The sequence below is a fragment of the Homo sapiens genome, chromosome 3 (genome assembly GCF_000001405.40).
Source record: "Homo sapiens chromosome 3, GRCh38.p14 Primary Assembly".
Taxonomy (NCBI): Eukaryota; Metazoa; Chordata; class Mammalia; order Primates; family Hominidae; genus Homo; species Homo sapiens.
The window spans coordinates 140474636-140500301 of NC_000003.12; the positions used below are offsets into that span (position 1 = coordinate 140474636).

At 41.7% G+C, this 25666-nt stretch overlaps 1 protein-coding gene across 2 annotated transcripts in view; it reads left to right on the forward strand.

The window, feature by feature from the left end:
• Positions 1 to 25666, forward strand: part of CLSTN2 (calsyntenin 2) — a 642213-nt gene that overhangs the window by 539451 nt on the left and 77096 nt on the right. The window lies entirely within an intron of this gene.

Consider the following 25666-nt stretch of genomic DNA (forward strand, 5'->3'; position numbering starts at 1 on the left):
ACAAAGTTGATATGAGAATTAGATTCTCTAGACCATACCTGCCTTTCCCCTAAAGCAGCACAGAAACCCACTTTACCCAGCCAATCTGCTCTGCAGTGCACACCCTGCACTACTGGACCGTTCTGTTTTTCTCCTCAGGGCCTTTTCCAAGGCTGCAGGAGTCTGCTGGGCTCCGGCGAGCCCAGTCCTGAACCACAGCAGTGTTATCACCCCTAGGAGCACCCCTCACCCAAAGGGGTGCAGAAGCAGTCAGTCCTGGAAGTTAGGAGCAATTCTGGGCAGCACCCTGCACTTTCTCAGGGGCCTCAGTGGAAAGAAGCCCCCACTACACGCAATGATAACCTTAACACCCTCTTGGATTGGCTTTTCCTCCTTCCTTAACTCATTCTCCTCACTTAATCTGTCCTCCTAACCTAGAATCACCTTCTAAATAAACTCTCTGCTCTAGCTCACCCTTGTAGTGCAGGTAGTTTCAGATCTATAGCAGGCAATGAACAAGTAGTGACTGCTATGATTATCAGCAAGTGAGAGACGTCTGCTGTGTTGCAGAGGCTGTACCATGACTAAAAGGAGGGAGTCACCAAGAGACCACAGTGAAGTGAATAAAGGGAAGGAAGGGAAGTTTAACAAAGTGCAGATCAGTGTTGCCCAATGTTGATGGAGCATATTGCATACCTAACTAATAGAAAAATCTGATAAGCAGATAATTCCATATGTGCCCTATTGTAGACATAGTCTCCACAAACACACTGATGGTTTCCATAGCTTATTTAACATTACATCCTGAGCCATTTCCTTGAAGAGCTGATTTCTCAAAGTTTTCTTGGGTTTTCATTATTACTTGGATTTTCTTTATTTTTCTTCTGAAGAGCCTATTCTAAAGAAGAATCCACACTCTCAGTGAAGAGAGCTACAGGGATGCCATTCTTTCCCTGCTGCCGTCTTACCCACTTCCCCTGCTTTCTCATCCTGACTTGGAGTCTAAGGTTATATCACTGTTAAATCTCAACAAATCAAAGATGCTAATGATTCTACATTTCTCCCCTTTTTCTGGCAAGCTTGGATCCTGTCTGGTCTCTTTTTTCCTGAGGAGCACCTGCTCAGCAATTCCGTTTGCTTCTGTAAAATCATTATTTGTGTTTCAGGCTGTACATCTGCCCAGAGGCAATGAATGCATGTTTTCAGTAGACATCCCCTAATACATATTTAAAATCAGCGTTAAAAAGAAGGGAATAATATAAACATTAAAAAGAATATTGTTTTACAGTTAAAAAGAATGAAGTAACGTCAACACAATTATAAATGCTTAGTAAATCAAATAATCTACTCAATAATAAATGAAGATACTCAAGCCATGGAGTAGTCCTGATGGAAGCAGCAGGAGCTCAGTCACTGCACCGATTGTGTCATGCTTCTACCTTTCTCGTTTCCTTTGGGGATTGGTGCCAGTGGGAGGGAGGGAGGCGTCTCCTTGGCTTGGAACCCAAATGTTTGCTTTCATAATATGAACGATATTTTCTGTCACTTCCACGATATGAAAGGGCAAAAAATTGGTAAAATTGAATCCTAATATGTAATGGCCAATTCGTTGCTAATCCTGCTTACTTGGGAGACATGATGCAAAGGCACTGGCCACTGTGAAGTCCACGTGCAGTGAGAAGGGAACTTGGAACCAGCATTTTTTCAGTTCTTATTTATATCAAGCACTTTCTTTTAGTTTTAACAAAAATCATGCCATTTAGGCAAAATGCCCAGATTATGGATGAAGAGTGGAAGACATAGCAAGGTGCTTTCCACATCTCTCATCTGAGAAGTGGAAAAACCTTGCATATGACCTCAAAACATACGTACTCCAAGAGGGTAAAAGGCACCAGTCTTAACTTGGGTGAATGTACAATCTTAGTGAATATGCACGAGGACAAGAATATACTCATATCCCTAAATGTTTAGAACCAGGCATGGATGTCCATCCAGAAACAGATTTCAAGTTCAGCTCATCAGGAATCATGTTTTAGCATCTTTTTTTTTTTTTTTTTTTTCCTGATATGGAGTCTCGCCTGTGGTCCAGACTGGAGTGCAGTGGCGTGATCTAGGCTCACTGCAAGCTCCGCCTCCTGGGTTCACACCATTCTCCTGCCTTAGCCTCCCGAGTAGCTGGGACTACAGGTGCCTGCCACCATGCCCAGCTAATTTTTTTGTATTTTTAGTACAGATGGGATTTCACTGTGTTAGCCAGGATGGTCTCGATCTCCTGACCTCGTGATCCACCCGCCTTGGCCTCCCAAAGTGCTGGGATTACAGGTGTGAGCCACCGTGCCCAGCCTGTTTTAGCATCTTTTGAAGCAAAGATCACCTCGCTCCTGAGGCAAGGTAATGAGAAGGCTGTTCATTCCATAAGACAAAAGAAGGCTGGAGCCAACTTCCCAGGGAAGACTACTCCTTTGAGGAAGTCTTAAAAAGCAATAACCCTGGAGGCCCAGCAGCGAGATTAATTTGCTCTACCATCCCTGCTTACTCCCAATCTCCTATGAGTCATTTGTTTCCATCCTTAATGTCTAAACATGCAAATATTGCTGCACTTACTACTCATTAGTTTAGCTAAAGGAAGTGCCCTTTAATTATACCTCTAAATAATGAACCTCCTTCATCACCTTGACAATCAGTGCACACTTAGAAGGAAGCAAGGTCTCATTATGAAGCAGCTACTGCATCCCTTGGTTACTTAGAAGACAGTAGCTTTGAAGCAATAGAAGTGGCAGTCCAAAGACAAACAAGCCTTGTAATTGCACTAACTCTTTGTGGTTTTAGGTGCAAGAATAGGAAACGTTAACCAGAAACATATTACATGTGAGGGAAAAAAGGGAAACTAGCATTTTTGAGAGGCTATAGTGTTCCAATCCCTAAACTCTTGATTTACATACATTAGGTCTAAACTACACAGTTACTTTTGAGGTTAAAACTTAACTCCATGTTATAAATACTGAAATTGAGGCTCTGAAAAATTAAGTCATTTACCAAAGGTGTTGGACCAAGCACCATGCTCCAAAGCTCCAAGTTGTTTTCCATTATGTTCTTGTCTTGTTGAGAAGATTTAGATAGTTTGGCAGAACTGGGTATCCACCAAGTCTTCACTATATTTCTTCATTTGTCGATCTCAGCAGAAACTCACAGAAATAGTTTGCTACAGTGCAATCCCCAATGGCACTGGCAGACTGGAAAATACTATCTGTGAACATGTCTACATGGTTCAGAAGAATAAAACACACTGTGTCATAGGCAGGGAAGTCATTCCCACTATCTGACTAGCCAATTACCTTTCATCTTTCAAGACCATACTCAGGGGTCACATCCTTCAGGAATACTTTCCTGTAACTTCCTCCCCAATAGAGAGTTGACCTTACCTTCATGGTGAAAAGGTAAGAAAAGACTGTTACCACAGCATTTTTACACCTTATGATACTTATTTATTCACTGGTTTATTTCTTTCACTGCATTGGACTATCACGTCTTGTTCACCTTTTTAATTTTTAGGAGTTTCTAACACAAATATGTGTTTAATGAATGCTTCTTAATTTTTTAAAAAAATTATCTAAATGGCATATGCTGATGTTCTACACTGTGGTTCCCAAACAGTGGTCCCTATGTCTACAAGCACTATTTCAGCTATACAGGTACCATCTGAGGATGAAAACATCCAGAAAAAAAAAAAAAAAAAAGCTGTCCTTTAACAGGTAAATAGTCTGTACGTGTCCATGTATGAAATGCTATTCAACAATAAGATGAACTATTGACTCATACAACATGAACGAATCTCAAAAACATTATGCTAAGTGAGAGAACCTAGATAACAAAGACTACATATTATATTACTTAATTTACATTAAATTTCCATAAAAGGTGATTTGTAGAGACAGAAAGCAGATTAGTGGTGCCTAGGGCATGGGGTTGAAGTGGAAATCAACTGCAAATGAGCACAGACTTTTTTTGGATAATGGAAATGTTCTAAAACTGGATTGCAGTGATGGTTGCACAACTATATAAATTTACTTAACACCACTGAATTATACACTTACAACGAGTGAATCTTATGATGCATACATCATACTTCAATAAAGATTAAAAACAAGAACTGAAAAAAGAGGGAGGAAGGGAAGGGAAGGGAAGAAGGGAGGAAGGGAGGAGGGAGGGAGGGATGGAAGAGGGAGAGAGGAAGAAAGGAAGGAAGGAAGGGGGAAGGAGGAAGGAAGGAAGGAAGGAAGGAAGGAAGGAAGGGAGGCAGGCATATTCTCTGAGCCTAAGGTGTTAGAGGATGAAATTCATCAATGCCAGAGTTGCCAGAAATTGAGTTAATACCAATAAGAATGGAGATGCAGGAAAGGAGGTCAAAATCTGATCATAAACTCCCCTCAAATCCCTGAGTATTCACAGAACTGTGTATATACAGAGGAGATTTCAGGAACCCAGGGAAAGCAATGTCAGGAAAAGAAAATGAAAAGATCTGAGCAGGTATTTTAGCTACTGTTCACTGCAAAGGAGACAAATTTTGGAATTCCTCCAAGAAGGGCTAGGTAAACATCTAGAGTTTTCCAGTGAAATGCAGAAGAAATACACCTTAAAAGCACAGACTATGTGCCAGGATTTAAGGACTGGCCCAGGACTAAGGGTAAATCTAAACAAACACACCTCTATAAAGGATAAAACCAAAACTTCTACAAGTGCAAGGTAATCATCCAGTAATTTAACAAAAATCAACAATAACAGAATCCAGAGTTTCTACTATGTATTATCCATAATATCCAGTGTGCAATAAAAATCACTGGACATGTGAGGAAACAGGAAAATGTGACCTAAGGTCCAGAGTAAAATCATTCAAGAGAAACAGACCCTGATAGAACACAAATGTTGGAATTAGAAGAAAATAACTTTAAAACAGTATTCTACATGTTTACAAACTTAAAAGTAAGGATTGTCATAATGAATGAACTGATAGGGAATCTCAGCAGATAAATGAAACTATACAGAAATGTAAAATGTAGAGTGGAAAAATACAATATCTAAAGTGAAAATATGGATTTCGCACATAAGAGAATAGAAATGGAAGAAAGAGAGCCTCAAAAGTACCAAAGGACAGGAAAAAGTGAACAAGGCATTAAATAATTAATTGAAGAAGTGGTGGAAAACTTACTATGTTTGATTCAAAACACCATCGTAAAGATTGAATAAGATCAGCAAGCCCCAAGCCGAATAAATACAAAGAAAGCAATACCTAATCACACTATCCTCAACCTGTTGATGACCGAAAATAAAGATAAACTCTTTTTTTTTTATTATTATACTTTAAGTTTTAGGGTACACGTGCACAACGTGCAGGTTTGTTACATATGTATACATGTGCCATGTTGGTGTGCTGCACCCGTTAACTCGTCATTTAGCATTAGGTATATCTCCTAATGCTATCCCTCCCCCAACCCCACAACAGGCCCCAGTGTGTGATGTTCCCCTTCCTGTGTCCATGTGTTCTCACTGTTCAGTTCCCACCTATGGGTGAGAACATGCAGTGTTTGGTTTTTTCTCCTTGCGATAGTTTGCTGAGAATGATGATTTCCAGCTTCATCCATGTCCCTACAAAGGACATGAACTCATCATTTTTTATGGCTGCATAGTATTCCATGGTGTATATGTGCCACATTTTCTTAATCCAGTCTATCATTGTTGGACCTTTGGGTTGGTTCCAAGTCTTTGCTATTGTGAATAGTGCCGCAATAAACATACATGTGCATGTGTCTTTATAGCAGCATGATTTATAATCCTTTGGGTATATACCCAGTAATGGGATGGCTGGGTCAAATGGTAATTTCTAGTTCTAGATCCCTGAGGAATCGCCAACTGACTTCCACAATGGTTGAACTAGTTTACAGTCCCGCCAACAGTGTAAAAGTGTCCCTATTTCTCCACATCCTCTCTAGCACCTGTTGTTTCCTGACTTTTTAATGATCACCATTCTCACTGGTGTGAGATGGTATCTCACTGAGGTTTTGATTTGCATTTCTCTGATGGCCAGTGATGATGAGCATTTTTTCATCTGTCTTTTGCCTGCATAAATGTCTTCTTTTGAGAAGTGTCTGTTCATATCCTTCACCCACTTGTTGATGGGGTTGTTTGTTTTTTTCTCGTAAATTTGTTGGAGTTCATTGTAGATTGTGGATATTAGCCCTTTGTCCAATGAGTAGATTGCAAAAATTTTCTCCCATTCTGTAGGTTGCCTGTTCACTCTGATGATAGTTTCTTTTGCTGTGCAGAAGCTCTTTAGTTTAATTAGATCCCATTTGTCAATTTTGGCTTTTGTTGCCATTGCTTTTGGTGTTTTAGACATGAAGTCCTTGCCCATGCCTATGTCCTGAATGGTATTGCCTATGTTTTGTTCGAGGGTTTTTATGGTTTTAGGTCTAACATTTAAGTCTTCAATCCATCTTGAATTAATTTTTGTATAAGGTGTAAGGAAGGGATCCAGTTTCAGCTTTCTACATATGGCTAGCCAGTTTTCCCAGCACCATTTATTAAATAGGGAATCCTTTCCCCATTTCTTGTTTTTGTCAGGTTTGTCAAAGATCAGATAGTTGTAGATACGTGGCATTATTTCTGAGGGCTCTGTTCTGCTCCATTGGTCTATATCTCTGTTTTGGTACCAGTACCATGCTATTTTGGTTACTGTAGCCTTGTAGTATAGTTTGAAGTCAGGTAGCATGATGCCTCCAGCTTTATTCTTTTGGCTTAGGATTTACTTGACAATGTGGGCTCCTTTTTGGTTCCATATGAACTTTAAAGTAGTTTTTTTCCAATTCTGTGAAGAAAGTCATTGGTAGCTTGATGGGGATGGCATTGAATCTATAAATTACCTTGGGCAGTATGGCCATTTTCACGATATTGATTCTTCCTACCCATGAGCATGGAATGTTCTTCCATTTCTTTGTATCCTCTTTTATTTCTTTGAGCTGTGGTTTGTAGTTCTCCTTGAAGAGGTCCTTCACATCCCTTGTAAGTTGGATTCCTAGGTATTTTATTCTCTTTGAAGCAATTGTGAATGGGAGTTCACTCATTATTTGGCTCTCTGTTTGTCTGTTATTGGTGTATAAGAATGCTTGTGATTTTTGCACATTGATTTTGTATCCTGAGACTTTGCTGAAGTTGCCTATCGGCTTAAGGAGATTTTGGGCTGAGACGATGGGGTTTTCTAAATAAACAATCATGTCGTCTGCAAACAGGGACAATTTGACTTCCTCTTTTCCTAATTGAATACCCTTTATTTCTTTCTCCTGCCTGATTGCCCTGGCCAGAACTTCCAACACTATGTTGAATAGGAGTGGTGAGAGAGGGCATCCCTGTCCTGTGCCAGTTTTCAAAGGGAATGCTTCCAGTTTTTGCCCATTCAGTATGATATTGGCTGTGGGTTTGTCATAGATAGCTCTTATTATTTTGAGATACATCCCATCAATACCTAATTTATTGAGAGTTTTCAGCATGAAGCGTTGTTGAATTTTGTCAAAGGCCTTTTCTGCATCTATTGAGATAATCATGTGGTTTTTGTTGTTGGTTTTGTTTATATGCTGGATTACGTTTATGATTTTCGTATGTTGATCCAGCCTTGCATCCCAGGGATGAAGCCAACTTGATTGTGGTGGATAAGCTTTTTGATGTGCTGCTGGATTCAGTTTGCCAGTATTTTATTGAGGATTTTTGCATCAATATTAATCAGGGATACTGGTCTAAAATTCTGTTTGTTGTGTCTCTGCCAGGCTTTGGTATCAGGATGATGCTGGCCTCATAAAATGAGTTAGGGAGGATTCCCTCTTTTTCTATTGATTGGAAGTTTCAGAAGGAATGGTACCAGCTCCTCCTTGTACCTCTGGTAGAATTCAGCTGTGAATCGATCTGGTCCTGGACTTTTTTTGGTTGGTAGGTTATTAATAATTGCCTCAATTTCAGAGCCTGTTATTGGTCTATTCAGAGATTCAAATTCTTCCTGGTTTAGTCTTGGGAGGGTGCATATGTCAAGGAATTTATCCATTTCTTCTAGATTTTCTAGTTTATTTGCATAGAGGTGTTTATAGTATTCTCTGATGGTAGTTTGTATTTCTGTGGGATCTGTGGTGATATCCCCTTTATCATTTTTCATTGCGTCTATTTGATTCTTCTCTCTTTTCTTCCTCATTGGTCTTGCTAGCGGTGTATCAATTTTGTTGATCTTTTCAAAAGACCAGCTCCTGGATTCATTGATTTTTTGAAGAGTCTTTTTTGTCTCTATTTCCTTCAGTTCTGCTCTGATCTTAGTTATTTCTTGCCTTCTGCTAGCTTTTGAATGTGTTTACTCTTGCTTCTCCAGTTCTTTTAATTGTGATGTTAGGGCGTCAATTTTAGATCTTTCTTGCTTTCTCTTGTGGGCATTTAGTGCTATAAATTTCCCTCTACACACTGCTTTGAATATGTCCCAGACATTCTGGTATGTTGTGTCTTTGTTCTCGTTGGTTTCAAAGAACATCTTTATTTCTGCCTTCATTTCGTTATTTACCCAGTAGTCATTCAGGAGCAGGTTGCTTGGTTTCCATGTAGTTGAGCGGTTTTGAGTGCGTTTCTTAATCCTGAGTTCTAGTTTGATTGCACTGTGGTCTGAGAGACAGTTTGTTATAATTTCTGTTCTTTTATATTTGCTGAGGAGTGCTTTACTTCCAACTATATGGTCAATTTTGGAATAGGTGTGGTGTGGTGCTGAAAAAAATGTATATTCTGTTGATTTGGGGTGGAGAGTTCTGTAGATGTCTATTAGGTCTGCTTGGTGCAGAGCTGAGTTCAATTCCTGCATATCCTTGTTAACTTTCTGTCGCATTGATCTGTCTAATGTTGACAGTGGGGTGTTAAACTCTCCCATTATTATTGTGTGGGAGTCTAAGTCTCTTTGTAGGTCTCTAAGGACTTGCTTTATGAATCTGGGTGCTCCTGTATTGGGTGCATATATATTTAGGATAGTTAGCTCTTCTTGTTGAATTGATCCCTTTACCATTATGTAATGGCCTTCTTTGTCTCTTTTGATCTTTGTTGGTTTAAAGTCTGTTTTATCAGAGACTAGGATTGCAACCCCTGCTCTGATTTTATTTATTTATTTATTTATTGCTTTCCGTTTGCTTGGTAGATCTTCCTCCATCCCTTTATTTTGAGCCTATGTCTGTCCTGCACATGAGATGGGTTTCCTGAATACAGCACACTGATGGGTCTTGACTCTTTATCCAATTTGCCAGTCTGTGTCTTTTAATTGGAGCATTTAGCCCATTTACATTTAAGGTTAGTATTGTTATGTGTGAATTTGATCCTGTCATTATGATGTTAGCTGGTTATTTTGCTCGTTAGTTGATGCATTTTCTTCCTAGCCTTGATGGTCTTTACAATTTGGCATGTTTTTGCAGTGGCTGGTACCAGTTGTTCCTTTCCATGTTTAGTGCTTCCTTCAGGAGCTCTTTTACGGCAGGCCTGGTGGTGACAAAAATCTCTCAGCATTTGCTTGTCTGCAAAGGATTTTATTTCTCCTTCACTGATGAAGCTTAGTTTGGCTGGATATGAAATTCTGGGTTGAAAATTCTTTTCTTTAAGAATGTCGAATATTGGCCCCCACTCTCTTCTGGCTTGTAGAGTTTCTGCCAAGAGATCAGCTGTTAGTCTGATGGGCTTCCCTTTGTGGGTAACCCGACCTTTCTCTCTGGCTGCCCTTAACATTTTTTCCTTCATTTCAACTTTGGTGAATATGACAATTATGTGTCTTGGAGTCGCTCTTCTCAAGGAGTATCTTTGTGGCATTCTCTGTATTTCCTGAATTTGAATGTTGGCCTGCCTTGCTAGGTTGGGGAAGTTCTCCTGGATAATATCCTGCAGAGTGTTTTCCAACTTAGTTCCATTCTCCCCATCACTTTCAGGTACACCAATCAGATGTAGATTTGGTCTTTTCACATAGTCCCATATTTCTTGGAGGCTTTGTTCATTTCCTTTTATTCTTTTTTCTCTAAAGTTCTCTTCTCCATTTCATTCATTTGATCTTCCATCACTGATACCCTTTCTTCCAGTTGATCGAATCGGCTACTGAGGCTTGTGCATTCATCACGTAGCTCTCGTGCTGTGGTTTTCAGCTCCATCAGGTCATTTAAGGACTTCTCTGCATTGGCTATTCTAGTTAGCCATTCGTCTTATTTTTTTTCAAGGTTTTTAACTTCTTTGCCATGGGTTCGAACTTCCTCCTTTAGCTCAGAGTAGTTTGATCGTCTGAAGCCTTCTCCTCTGAACTCATCAAAATCATTCTCCGTCCAGCTTTGTTCCATTGCTGGTGAGGAGCTGTGTTCCTTTGGAGGAGGAGAGGCACTCTGATTTTTAGAGTTTCCAGTTTTTGTGCTCTGTTTTTCCCCCATCTTTGTGGTTTTATCTACCTTTGGTCTTTGATGGTGGTGACGTACAGATGGGATTTTGGTGCGGATGTCCTATCTGTTAGTTTTCCTTCTAACAGTGAGGACCCTCAGCCACAGGTCTGTTGGAGTTTGCTAGAGGTCCACTCCAGACCCTGTTTTCCTGGGTATCAGCAGCAGAGGCTGCAGAACAGCGGATATTGGTGAACAGCAAATGTTGCTGCCTGATTGTTCCTCTGGAAGTTTTGTCTCAGAGGGGTACCCAGCCGTGTGAGGTGTCAGTCGGCCCCTACTAGGGGGTGCCTCCCAGATAGGCTACTTGGGGCTCAGGGACCCACTTGAGGAGGCAGTCTGTCTGTTCTCAGATCTCAAGCTGTGTGCTGGGAGAACCACTACTCTCTTCAAAGCTGTCAGACAGGGACATTTAAGTCTGCAGAGGTTTCTGCTGCCTTTTGTTTGGCTATGCCCTGCCCCCAGAGGTGGAGTCTACAGTGGCAGGCAGGCCTCCTTGAGCTGCAGTGGGCTCCACCCAGTTCGAGCTTCCCGGCTGCTTTGTTTACCTACTCAAGCCTCGGCAATGGCAGGCACCCCTCCCCCAGCCTCACTGCTGCCTTGCAGTTTGATCTCAGACTGCTGTGCTAGCAATGAGTGAGGCTCCATGGGCATAGGACCCTCCGAGCCATGCGCAGGATATAATATCCTGGTGTGCCGTTTGCTAAGACCATTGGAAAAGCACAGTAGTATTAGGGTGTGAGTGACCCGATTTTCCAGGTGCCGTCTGTCACCCCTTTCTTTGATTAGGAAAGGGAATTCCCTGACCCCTTGCGCTTCCCAGGTGAGGCGATGCCTCACCCTGCTTCGGCTCACACTTGGTGCGCTGCACCCACTGTCCGACAACCCCCCAGTGAGATGAACTCGGTACCTCAGTTGGAAATGCAGAAATCACCCATCTTCTGCATTGCTCACACCGAGAGCTGTAGAATGGAGCTGTTCCTATTTGGCCGTCTTGGCTCCACCCCACAAAGATAAACTCTTAAGAGCACCCAGAGAAAAAGACACATTACATATGGGAAAAGACCAATGTGTATGACAAACAACATTTTACTGAAAACTTTGGAAACCAAAAGACAATGGAATGACAAAGGAAGTCCTTCAAGTAGAAAGGAAGGGATATCAGAATGAAAAACAGATTCATAGGAAAGAAAGAGCATTGGAAATGGTAATTATGTAAATAAATATAAAAGACTGTCCTTCCTTCTTTCATTTCTTTAAATGACCATGACTGTTAAATCCAATGATTATAACTGTGTATTGTGGGGCATATAATGTATTTAAGGGCAAAGGAACAATAGAACAACAACAAAAAAAGGATGGAGGTGTTAAATGAGTTCTACTGATGCAAAGTTCTTAAACTTTATGTGAAGTGTTACAATGTTAACTCTAAGAATACTGTGATAAGACAAAGATGCATATTAAGGAAGGCCCACTTTAGTTCAGAGTCTATGAGTACTCAGGCAGAGGGAGGAGTACTCCCAGGCAAAAAACTTCAAGCTCCAGATGTCATAGGTTTCTTGAAATAGACAGACAAAAGGGCAAAGGTAGTATCATTGGCAAGAAGTGTTCATTATATATGGGCCACAGGTAGGAAAGGAGAAATTGGACCAGGAATATCTAGAGAATGCTGAAGGAAAATGCTGTAGAGGTGCGTGAATAATGAAGGAGGGCCCAGTCTCACCTTCAAACCCTGAATTGGAAGTTGGGCACATGTCCAGAGTTGCTTATTTGGCATGAAACAGGATTCTCGAAAGCCTAGAGAGAAAATTCTGAGTTTTGGACCTGGGAAAGTAAGAGAGCACCAACAGATGTAAGTTTAAGGCATTTGGAGAATGACTTAGGAGTGTGGGATTTGCTGATTCCAGGATGCACACAATAGTGTCAGCCTTGCCTCAGTATGGACCTGTGCTAAGGCCCCAAGGAGTCGAGAGGAATACCTGAAAGAGCAGGTGCCTTCTTTCCCTTTATAAACAGAAAAATCACTCTCTATTCAAACTGTTGATGATAGTCATGGAAGTGATTAGGGTGAAAGAGTCTGAAAAAGTAATGGTTTTAGCCATAAATTAGATGTTTGAAGGGGAAAATTATAGGTAGTATTCATGAGTTGGGTGGGTATCCACAAAGATCTCAGAAATTATTGCTTATATGCACCAAGAGTCTCCCATATTTATTTGGAAAATACTTTGAATCCTCATTGCTTATCTCCAGGCCTCTCAGCCATTTTTCCCTCAAGAGGTAAACCAGCTTCTGAGAACAGCCCAATAGAGGCTTTCCTGCCAGTTTCCTTATAATCTTCTAAGCTAATTAAAGGTAAAACCATAGTTTGACCTCCCCTTCTCTGTATCAGTGAGAATGAGTTGGTGTTTGTTTCAACACTGTTCTGATTCCAGTGTCCAAAGTAGAAAACAGAGAACAGTGCTAGAACTATTCCTATGCTAGACCCCATGGCTCCACATGCCTGTCTTCTCTTCAGCAAGCAGTAATTTCTTATGTGTTCATGGGAAAGACAGAACTCTCCCTCTCCCAACAGAAAAGCCTAACGTCTGCCTCCTCAGCATCACATGAAATGTTAGATACTGAAGACCCCTTGTCCCTCTGTTTAGGCTGCCCTGGAAGTGGAGAGCTTAGTAATAGCCCTGTCACATGGTCTGCTTCTGTTTCCATCAAACACAACTATGTCAAATGTTTCATTAGTCACAAATACAGGGAACAATAAGGCTATAGCTATTTGGACACAAAGCAAAGACAGAGTCTTATATCTATTATCTAGACTCAAATAAAAAGTGAGCCCACAATAGGGTTATAAATATGAACTGGAACTTGAAGAATTATTTGATATCAGCCACTTATTTTTCTGCCTGTAAACATAGACATAAAATGAGTCTTATAAGCCAAGAGCAAAGATGCACATTCGGGTTTATTACAAAACACTAAAAATATCCCTCTGCCACATCTAGCAACAGTATGTCACATTAGGAACCCAGAGAAGAAGAAAAAAAAGCATTCCTTAGGGAGTTTGAGTGTAGAACAAGGCTGTGTCTACACTGTGCCCCATGAAGTACATATTCATTCACTTATCCATTCATCAAGAAGTTTTGGTCAAGATCAAATTTAAAAATGAACAAACATATTTCAGGGACAAATGTTCATTATGGAGCAGTCAAAGGAATGTAGGCTTTGGAGTTTCTCAGATCTGTTTGCCACTCAGCTCTGTCTCTTATTATCTGTGTGACCTTAGGTGAGTCACTTCACTTCTCTGAGCCTTAGTATCCTCATTTGTAAAATGAGGATAAATATGAACACCTCAGGAGTGGTTATGAAGATTCAATGATGGTAATGAATGTAAAGCAAAATTAACATAGTGACAGCAGAACACTTGACCCATGGAAATGTTTTGTTGGCCATCACGGTCTCACACTCACATGCAGAGATAGACAGATGACTGACTGAGATTTAGAAACTGTAGATGAAGTAACCACAGTTCTGCTGTGGAATGCATTTAATACGTGCTTTTTTTTTTTTTTTTTTTTTTTTTTAGCAGCAGCTACTTCATACCAGTCACTGGAGCAGGGAGTATACTGGCGAACTGGCAAACAGAAGTATGGCAAACAGAACTGACAAACAGAAAATCACATTCAGATTGTGGTCTTAAAACACCATTTGCACTAAAAGATTCCAGAGTCTCTTAAAGAAACAGCTGATTCTGAGTTGGGGCAAAAATGAACAAAATAAGCCTAGATCTGATTGGCTATGTGCAGGAAATACTGGGACAGAGGAACACATGAGTGTGCAAATAACAAAATCCAGACTGGGAAAATCTATTATCCTGTGTTCTTCAACAGATAAATTGCAAGGAAAAGAAAACAATGAATGTATAAGCTACAGATTAAAAAGTTTTGAAAAACATAAATTAGTTTTTTCATGGACAAAACTCAACTACAGTGTCTAGGGATACAGATTTAAGTGATAAAATGGGAGAGAGGTGAAGACTGTAAAAGTCAAGACAATGGATACTTTTGGGAAGAGAGTAGTAGTTGAGAGGAGAGTGGTGGTTGGGAGGAGAATCGTGGTTGACATTGGGATGGGGTGCAGGGAAGGGGCTTCTGCACAGCTGGTAAGGTTTCAATTATTGGCCTGGGTGTGGCTATAAGGATGCTCACTCCATAATAGTTCATTAAGTTCTGCACTTGTTTTGTGTAGCTTTATGCATCTTGCTTTAGGATAAAAAGCAACTTAAGTGGAAGAAACAGCATGTGTTGAGGGCTGCTGTGTGCTAGAGAGTTTTCTGGGCCCTATGGCAGTGAGTGAGGCTCAATCCTGGCCCTGAAGCTTAGAGTTTAGTGGGAGAGAAAGGTAATTACAGTACCATGATCAGGGATAGACAGGAGCCACATACAGAAGACTGTCTGGGAGGGATCACCTAACTGGGCCTGGGGGTAGTGGAAGGCTTGCATGGAGCAGCAGGGAGAGGACCTGACAATGTTTAAACACCCACCACACCCCGGCCCATTCTAAAGATACTGGGATGAAATCAACCCTGTGTTGGCTCTAAAAGGGAACCAGAATGGGCTTTTTGGGAGGATGTAGGCAGATAAATTGTTCACAGGCCCTTGCTATGCATTTTACACATCTTCACCTCAGTGTCTCATTACCCATTACTCAGATGTGAGGTAACTGTGGCTTGGAAAGATTAGAAAACAACTGGCTCTGTATCAACTGGCCAGGAAATAGAAACGCTGAGTTTTGAATCAAGTGTGCATTCTTTTGCCAGAGAAATAGTGCGTCTAGGGTCCCGGACAGGTACAGGTCGTTAGTCTATAGGAGTGAGCAGCCCAGATCATGAGATGAGGAGGATGGCAACAGACAAGAAAAAAAAGAAGTACATGTGTGTGTGTGTGTGTGTGTGTGTGTGTGTGTGTGTGTGTGTGTGTGTGTGTGTGTGTGTGTGTGTGTGTGTGTGTATATATATATATATATATATATATATATACACACACACACACACACACACACACACACACACACACACACACATATATACAGCCTCTGCCTCTAACCAGATCCTCTGGGTCTCTGCTCTGTGGGCCATATGGAATCCACACCGGTCATTTCTCTGTGTATTCTCTCACCTCCAAGGATATGGGTGGAGGGCCTTTAAATCTCCTTATGAAGGAAGGATCCCTTCCTATTGGAGTCAGGGCTGTACATGAAGGCCCCCAGTTCCTCCATGCTAGACACATCCCCAGAAGCAGCACCTAATGGGCAACACTGCGGAATCATTTTCCACCCAGATCAGGGGCATCCCACGGACACTTATTCCAGAAAACTGAAGCTGGGCCACAAAGAAGGCTCTCATCCTTGCTGCTATTTGCCCTGGACCACTTCAAAATGTGACACATCGGGCTGCAGTGAGCTGAGATTGTGCCACTGTACTCCATCCTGGGTGACAGAGCGAGACCTTGTCTCAGAAAAAAAAAAAAAAAAAAAACATGGCACATCCACTGGGACTATGTTCTGGAGAGGCCCTTGGCTTCAAGAGTGAAATTCTGTGACTTCTCACTTAACAGTTATAGGAAGTCTTTCACCAAGCAGTGTCATAGGCTGAACATTGATACTACGATCTGCTCAGTAACGAGGAGCAGACCCCACACCTCACAAAGGTCTCGCAGCCTAGCCTGCCCAGCTGTGATGTCTAGTACCTGCCCACATGTAGCCAGGAAGCATTCATGTGAATGGCTGATAAGAGCGGCCAAGCCAGTGAGACTTTCTCACTGCACTTGATCACTAAGGGCTGTCCCATTTCTGCATTTCTTCTAATAGCAGTTTATCCAGAGAGACAGAGAGAGGCAGAACATTGGAAACCTGTTCATTAAGAAGATTTTAGCACGGTGTCAACCCCCGTAAGTCATACGTCCCTAATAAACTTAAAGCTTTTTATCTGTGGAGTAAAACACAAATGGTCACTTAAAATCTTGAAAAGCATACTTTATATGACAACCAAATCAAGTGTTAATTTGTCTTTCTCTGTCTCCTGGCCAGTCTGGTGCCCCTCCGGCCTTCTCTTTACTCCCTTCTACTTTGCCTTCATGATCTTTCTAAAAACCACCACTGCCTTGCTAAGACACATTTTCCAAATCCTCATTTCATCCTTGCCCTGGATTTGCTGGTGGTAAGGTAATCTAATCATAGCTAACATGTAATGAGCACTTAAATGTTTCAGTGGTATCAATTCATTTAATTTGAGGGATATTGATATACCAGCAATGACATTAGAGAGAGATATTAGAAATACTTGAATGAACTTTTAAAAATTTTAGTAGTTACCCATTTATTTTAATGCATAGGAGAAAAGGTGTAACTTACACATTAAAACATGACTTCACAGTTGTAAAATGAAATAAAATTATTTTAGACTGGGTGTGGTAGCTCACGCCTGTAATCCCAACACTTTGGGAGGCCAAGGCGGGCAGATTGCTTGAGTCCAGAAGTTGGAGATCAGCCTGGGCAACGTGGCAAAACCGCTCTCTAATAAGAATCCAAAAAATTAGCCAGACATGGTGCTACACATCTATAGTCCCAGCTACTCAGGAGGCTGAGGTGGGAGAATCACCTGAGCCCAGGAGGTTGAGGCTGCAGTGAGCCGAAATTGCACCACTGCACTCCAGCCTGGGCAACTGGAGTGAGACGCTGTCTCAAATACTTAAGTAAAAGTAAGCTAGTTTAAATAAAAATATTAAGAAAGTGACAGAAGAGGTATGTGAATTTGTTCATTTACTTAACAAATACTTCCTTTGGGAGACTCCTACCTGGCAGGCATTTCTGTGGAGCCTGCAAATACAACATTGAACAAAGAAGACAAAGACCCTGGACCTTCAAAAGACCCAAAAAAGCCCTTTAAGAAACAAGTTATCCAAATGGCCAATAAACACACGTAAAGGTGCTCAACTTCATTATATGTTGGGGAAATGCAAAATTTAAATCCACAGTGAGCTATACCAAGCACCCACCATAATGGCTTAAAAAAAAATAAATTTCAAAAGAGATGATACCAGGATTTGGCAAGAATGCAGAGCAACTGGGAGTTTTGTATATTGCTTGTGGGAGTATAAATTGGTACAGCCTCTTTAGAAAACTATTTGGCAATATCTGCTAAAGCGGGCCCAGTAGTTCCATTCCTAGTCACCTACCCAGCCGAAAAATACATGTGTTTATTAAAAGACATGTATAATCTTTGAGCAATAAACAGGTCTCAGAAAATGCTAATTGAAAGAACTAAAACCTATTCTGGAGCAAAGAAGTAGCAGCGGCAATAAGACATTATCCATGTCCATGAGGATAGTAGATTACTGTCATTGAACACACTTTCTCTGAGTGTATACTGTGTTCTGGATTTTATGCTGGACGCTTGAAATACAGGACTAAATCCAAGGTGTCCCTTAACCTCTCAGGAACACACAGTCACTCACCTTACAACCAGAAAAGCTAAGCCTTTTGAACTTTGCTCAAAGAAATTTGGATGAATGAACATCAAGATGGGTAACCTTGGTTTACATTCTATATAAATATGTTTATGTAAATAGTATCTCTCCATAAGAGTAGGAACTTTGTATTATTTCCTACTATATCCCCCAGAACTAGAGCTGTGTCTGACTCATAGTAGGGGCTCTGTAAGTATATGCTGTCTGCCTGGTTGGATGGATGGATGGATGGAAATGAACAGGGATGAGAAGAGCTCCAGAATCTGCAGACAAACTGCCCCCGCAGGAGACAGGGGACTCCCACCATATAAAGGAATATTCCACAGAAGAGTCTGACAAACCCTACTTATCAGGGTTGTCTGCCAAGGACACTCACCAGCAGTTGGAATTGTTACAATCAACCATGGAGGTTTTTATTTTTTTCACTTCAGACATAGATTAATATTTCAGGAGAACAAGGTTCTAATTTACAACCAAGACCTTTGGTTTAATCAGCAAAGGAAAAAACGTCTGGGAACATTATTGCCTCACTCATGTTTTCCCATTGCCTTCCTGGCTGGGTTTACCTTTTTGGCCTTTAATTATTCCATTCTCTCACATGGCTTTATCTCAGACACTTCGGGATGAAAATGTGATTTGCCATTTAGAGGTTTCAGCAAAAATCACACTCAAGTCAGCAAATTGAGAGCCTGATAAAGCAACAGAGGGTTGGGGCAAGGCTTTGAAAGGATGTCTTTAAAGTGTTTTTAATTAAATCTGTGTTATTATTTAGGATAGTCAAGAATCATTTACAGGCAATATAGGGTCTCTTTGGAATCTCAGTCATGCTGTTCTTATAACTGTAGCATTAGTCATGCAACCTAAGGGCAATGTGACAAGTTTGCTTCTTCAGCCAAATATTTGTGAGTAGCACCTACTGTGTATACCTACCTTATACTAGGCATGAACCAGGTTCTGTGGGCCGTCACCAAGAAATACTTGGCAAAGCTGTCCTATCATGTCAGGGGCTGGACAACATAACCAGGTCATAATATAACAGAAGGGGGAAGGAGAGGGTCAAAGGCACAAACATCACCTAAGCCTCTCTGTGCTAGGATCTGCTCTACGAGCTTTGCCTACATTTACTCTTTTATTCGTCACAGCAGTCTGTGAAGAGGAATCATTATTCCATGTCATAGATGGGAGACCTATGAGAATTGAAATGGCTTATCTTAGCCATACAGCTCATTAACCGGTCTCTCTAAAAACCTACTCTTACTAGGGCATATCTTGATGCCAACCTTTTAGACCACGTTGAAGGGTGTTATTAGAACCAATTCCCCAAATTCATTATTAGATTAATAAAGGGTGATGTTGAGGACAGAGCTGTCCACATCACAGAATGTCTTTTTTTGAAAACCCACAGAAGGATTTCTATCTGGACTCCATACAAGAAAAAAATCTGTTTTTCTTTAACAACAGATAACTTTTAATTTTATGGACATAATAAGACAATATTACATCAAGTTTCCTTTTGTATTGGCTGCTACAAAGCTTAGAACCAATTGTGTGACCCTCTGCTAAAGAATATAAACTCTGTCATCATACATTCAGGGTGCAAAGCATATACACCTCCTTCAAGGGTTCATCTTAACATTCCCTCTTAGTCTGCATTCCCAAAAAGCAAAGCCCAGTGCAAAAGTTTATGACGTTCTCCTTCACAATAAAGATCACAAGCCCAGGGAGAGGACTGTGAGAGGTAAGAGAATGAGGGAGGTAAACAAAAGGGTAGGTTATCAAGCCGGATACCTCTTCTGATCAAGTTCAGCTGATTGCTCTTCCAAAGCAATTATTTTTTGTTTGTTTTCATTTTGACCTTCAACTTTTAACTTCTGGGGTACATGTGCAGGATATGCAGGCTTGTTACATAGGTAAATGTGTGCCATGGTGCTTTGCTGCACAGATCATCCCATCACCTAGGTATTAAGCCCAGCATCCATTAGATATTCTTCCTGATGCTCTCTCTTCCCCTACCTCACCCCCAACAGGTCCCAGTGTGTGTTGTGCCCCCTAATGTGTTGATGTGTTCTCGTCATTCAGCTCTGACTTATAAGTGAGAACATGCATGTTTTGTTTCCAGTTCCTATGTGAGTTTGCTAAGGATAATGGCTTTTAGCTCCATTCATATCCCTGCAAAGGACATGCTCTCATTCCTTTTTATGGCTACAGAGTATTCCATGGTGTATATGTACCACATTTTGTTTATCCAGTCTATCATTGATGGACATTTGGATTGATTCTATGTCTTTGCTATTGTGAATAGTGCTGCAATGAACATATATGTGCATATATCTTTATAATAGAATGATTTATATTCCTTCGGATATATACCCAGTAATGAGATTGCTGGGTCAAATTGTATTTCTGCCTCTAGATTTTTGCAGAACCGCCACACTGTCTTCCACAATGGTTGAACTAAATTACACTCCCACCAACTGTATAAAAGTGCTTCGTTTTCTCTGTAAACTCATCAGCATCTGGTGTTTCTGGACTTCTTATTTTTAGCCATTCTGACTGGCATGAGATGGTATCTCATTGTGGTTTTGACTTGCATTTCTCTAATGACCAATCAGTGATGTTGAGCTTTCTGTAAATATGTTTGTTGGCTGCAAGAATGTCTTCTTTTCAGAAGTATCTGTTGATGTCCTTTGCCTACTTTTTAATGTTTTTTTTTCCTTGTACATTTGTTTAAGTTTCTTGTAGGCTCTGGGTATTAGACCCTTGTCAGATGGATAGATTGCAAAAATGTTCTCCCATTCTATAGGTTGTCTGTTCACTCTGATGATAGCTTCTTTTACTGTGCAGAAGCTCTTTAGTTTAATTAGATCCCATTTGTCAATTTTTGCTTTTGTTGCAATTGTTTTTGGTGTTTTTGTCATGAAATCTTTGCCCATGACTATGTCCTGAATGTTATTGCCTAGGTTTTCTTCTAGAGTTTTCATAGTTTTGGGTTTTACATTTGAGTATTTAATCTATCTTGAGTTAATTTTTGTATAAAGGTGTAAGGAAGGGGTCCAGTTTCAATTTTTTGCATATGACTAGCCAGTTCTTCCAGCACCATTTATTAAATAGGGAATCCTTTCCCCATTGCTTATTTCTGCAAGGTTTGTCAAAGATCAGATGGTTGTAGGTGTATGGTCTTATTTCTAAGTTATTTATTCTGTTCCATTGGTCTATGTGTCTGTTTTTGTACCAGTACCATGCTGTTTTGGTTACTGTACCCTTGTAGTATAGTTTGAAGTCAGGTAGCATGATGCCTCCAGCTTTATTCTTTTTTCTTAGGATCGTCTTGGCTATTCAGGCTCTTTTTTGGCTCCATATGAATTTTAAAATACTTTCTTCAAATTCCATGAAGAATGTCAATAGTAGTTTCATGGGAATAGCATTGAATCTATAAATTACTTTGGGCAGTGTGACCATTTTCACAACATTGATTCTTCCTATTCATGATCATGGAGTGCTTCTCCATTTGCTTGTGTCCTCTCTGACTTTCTTGAGCAGTGGTTTGTAGTTCTCCTTGAAGAGGTCTTTCACTTCCCTTGTTAGCTGTATTCTTAGGTATTTTATTCTCTTTGTAGCAATTGTGAATGGGAGTTCCTTAATGATTTGGCTCTCTGCTTGTCTGTTCTTGGTGTATAGGAATGCTAGTGATTTTTGCACATTGATTTTGTATCCTGAGACTTTGCTGAAGTTGCTTATCAGCTTAAGAAGCTTTTGGGCTAAGGTGATGGGATTTTCTAGATATAGGATCATGTCATCTGCAAGCAAAGATAACTTGACTTCCTCTCTTTCTATTTGAATACGTTTCATTTCTTTCTCTTGCCTGATTTCCTGGGCCAAACTTCCAATACAATGTTGAATAGAAGTGATGAGAGAGGGCATCCTTGTCTTGTGGCAGTTTTCAAGGGGAATGCGTCCAGCTTTTACCCATTCAGTATGATATTGGCTGTGTGTTTGTCATAGATGGCTCTTAGTATTTTTAGTATGTTCCTTCAATATCTAGTTTATTGAGAGTTTTTAACATGAAGGGATGTTGAATTTTATCAAAGGCGCAGGGTGGGTACTGACCTGTTGTTGGCCTGGATGCTCCTGTAGGGGGTGTCTGGAGACCCCTGTTGGGAGGTCTCACCCAGTCAGGAAGGACAGGATCACGGACCTACTTAAACAAGCAGTCTAGCCGGGCGCGGTGGCTCACACCTGTAATCCCAGCACTTTGGGAGGCCGAGGCAGGTGGATCACCAGGTCAGGAGTTCGAGACTAGCCTGGCAAACATGGTGAAACCCTGTCTCTACTAAAAATACAAAAATTAGCCGGACGTGGTGGCATGCACGTGTAATCCCAGCTACTCGGGAGGCTGAGGCAGCAGAATCACTTGAACCTGGGAGGCAGAGATTGCAGTAAGCCGAGATTGCGCTATTAACCTCTAGCTTGGGTGACACAGCGAGACTCCGTCTCAAAAAAAAAAAAAAAAAAGCAGCAGTTTGGGTGCTTTTTGGTAGAGCAGGTGTGCAGTGTTGGGGGTAAGCCTTCCTCGTGCAGATAGCTTGGACTCTCCAGAGCCAGCAGGCTGGAAAAGCTGAGTTGACTGAACTGCAGAGATGTTGGCCACCCTTCCCATCAGGGGCTCCATCCCAGGGAGGGATCAGAGTTTTATTCATATAACCGTGGCTGGAGTAGCTGATATTCTTGCAGGGAGGCCCCGCCCAGTCAGGAGGGATGGATTGGGGGTCCCATTTGAAAAAGCTATCTGGCCACGATCTGGCACAGCCTCTGTGCTGTGCTATGGGGGATTGCTTCTTGACCGAACCACCTGGACTCCCCGAAGCCAGCAGGCTAGAATGGCTGAGTCAACCTCACCGCAGAAATGGCGGCCGCCCCCACCTCAGGAGCTCCTTCGTCTCAGGCATTCTCCAGCCTGCTGCCCCTGCTGGCTGGAATTCCAAGCCAGTGGGTCCTAACTTGTGAGGTGCCATGGAAGTGGGGTCCACAGAACGACACTTCTCAGCTCCCTGGATTCAGCGTGCTTTCTAGGGGAGTGTACGGATGGATCTCCTGCCTTGCTAGGATTCCTGGGGCCAGAGTCTATAAAACTCCTGTGTCTCTGAGTGAGCCTGAGTGACTGCTCTGCCAAGACTCCACACAGTTCTGTGTATCAGACCCAAGACCCTGATGGCATGGACTCATGAGGGAATCTCCTGATCTGCAGGTTGCAAACATCTATGGAAGAAGCCTGTTTTTCCGGGAGGGGTCATACAATCACTCACAGCTTCCCTTGGCTGGCGTTGGGGGTTCCTTTGGCTCTGCACCACTCCAGGGTGGGCTGTCGCCCCACCCTGCTTTTCTTCCTTCTCCATTGGTCGAGTCTTCCACATATTCAGTCCCAATGCGAGAACCTAGATATTTCGGTTGAAGGTGCTGAATTCACTTGCTGTTTTCATTCTCTATGCGACATGGACTGCAGCTGTTTCTAATTGGTCATCTTGGACTCTCCCCCAAGACATTTTCTAATAATCTAAAGCAATTACTAACTAAAAATAATTAACTATTGTGTCTTGTGTGAGAAGAGAAAGAGAGAAGAGTTTATCCACTGGCGCCGGTCTCCAATCAGCCCAAGATTTTTTCCAGGAGCATTCATTCCCCTGCATACCTGAGTGGCAGGGGCATGAATTCTGCCACTCTTCAGGGACAATCAGGGAGCCCCCCTAATGGAGTGAGGTGCTGTTGGGTTGCACCTTTGGGAAGGCCATCCCTGGGCAGCAGCTGGGTGAACCACACAGAGTATTTGCCATGAAGGCAGCCAGTGCCAAGTGGCTATGCCCTCACCTTTCCTGCCCCAGATGGTGCCGAGCTCAGAGGGGAGCCCAGAGACATGTATGATACATCCAGTTTCCCTTCCATGACTACTATTTCTTTTTAAAAGAAATCTTGTATTGATTTTATTTTCACACGCCATATGCAGTTTTGGTGGGTCAAGGTACAAATAAAATTAAACAATTATTTGTTTTGTGCTAATTCACTCTCTTTAATGAAAGTTGTATCCTCAAGGCATCCCTTCTCTTTTATCCCCTGGAGTGACCCAGAGTGGCTAAAGTGGGTACCTGAGGATGTCTTGTCACAACCACTAGCTGTTGTCACCACCTCTTTACCACACTTGAATGGAATGTCTCAGGCCAAGTGTAAAGATTTTGTCTCCTGAAGGATTTCCTCTCAGCCTTGGTTACTATTGTCATTGGAAATCCAAGATTGTACAAAGACAGCATGCCTTTGGAATCCCCAGCACTGAGCACTCTGTCTGGCATTGTGAGCACTTGAATGTTTTTTTTTTTTTTCACTAAACCAAATAATTAACAATCATTATATCAAAATAATAACCACTTATTGAGCATTTACTATATGCCCAACAGTGCACTGGCTGGTTTGCCTTGTTTAATCTTCACACGACTCAACTATTACCAGCTGTGGCTCAGTAATATAATCTGATGAGAAAACCTACTTTCTATGGTTATAAATTTTGCTAGAAATAATTCATATACCTGACTCTGAAAAGCAGGGAGCTTCCACTAACCCACTATGGAGCCCTTACAGAGTTTGTCATCTGAAGACGCTTCTCTTTCTCTTGACTCCCTTGGTCTCAAGGTTTGCCTTTTCAACTGCATGAGCCACAGCCCCATCTACTGACTGTAATAAAAATAATCTACCTTTCTGGAATTCAGCAGCAAAGCAGACTTGAATTACTTACTGTCTTCAAGGACCCCAATGTGTAATTAGTTTGATTGGACCTTATAATTAAATGGTCAGCCAAGGACATGGGAGGATGCCTTTGGCTTGGGCATTCTTTTCTTTTTCTGGGCTGAGAATTGTAACCTAAGAAACAAAGGCCCACCTGGGTGCTGAGCTGCCCAATGGCCTGGGATACAGAGGGAGCATTTGGAGATAGTGAGGCTGCTCTTTATGCAGGACAGCTCTGCTCACTGACAGAATTGCCTATGGTGTAGGCAGGGGGTGGTAAAAATCACCCCATCCTCAAATACTTCTCACTGAGCTTCTCTGATTGCCCTGCCCTGATACCTGAAGTTCTGCCTCTTGTTATGCATGGGATACAGGTACCTAATAACCCTATAAAAATGCAAAGGTTCTGGCTGGGCGCGGTGGCTCACACCTGTAATCCCAGCACCTTGGGAGGCCAAGGCAGGCGGATCACGATGTCAGGAGATCGAGACCATCCTGGCTAACACGGTGAAACCCCGTCTCTACTAAAAAATACAAAAAAAATTAGCCGGGCATGGTGGCGGGAGCCCGTAGTCCCAGCTACTCAGAAGGCTGAGGCGGGAGAATGGTGTGAACCTGGGAGGTGGAGATTGCAGTGAGCCGAGATCATGCCACTGCACTCCAGTCTGGGTGACAGAGCGCGACTCCGTCTCAAAAAAAAAAAAAAGTTCTCATTGAGAAGTAGGAAAGATTGGAAATTAGGGAACTTCATGGGGAGCTCAGGGCTCCCAAGTGGGGTTTCAGAAATTCAGAGTCAGCTTGTAAGCCTTGAGGACTTTGGAAACAAGTATCTTTTCTTTTGTCCACTCGGTATAACACTCAGGCATTTCTTCTACTTGACTGTCAGAGGCTGGTCCAAAAAGCAGCCTTATTGGCAATTGTTTAAAG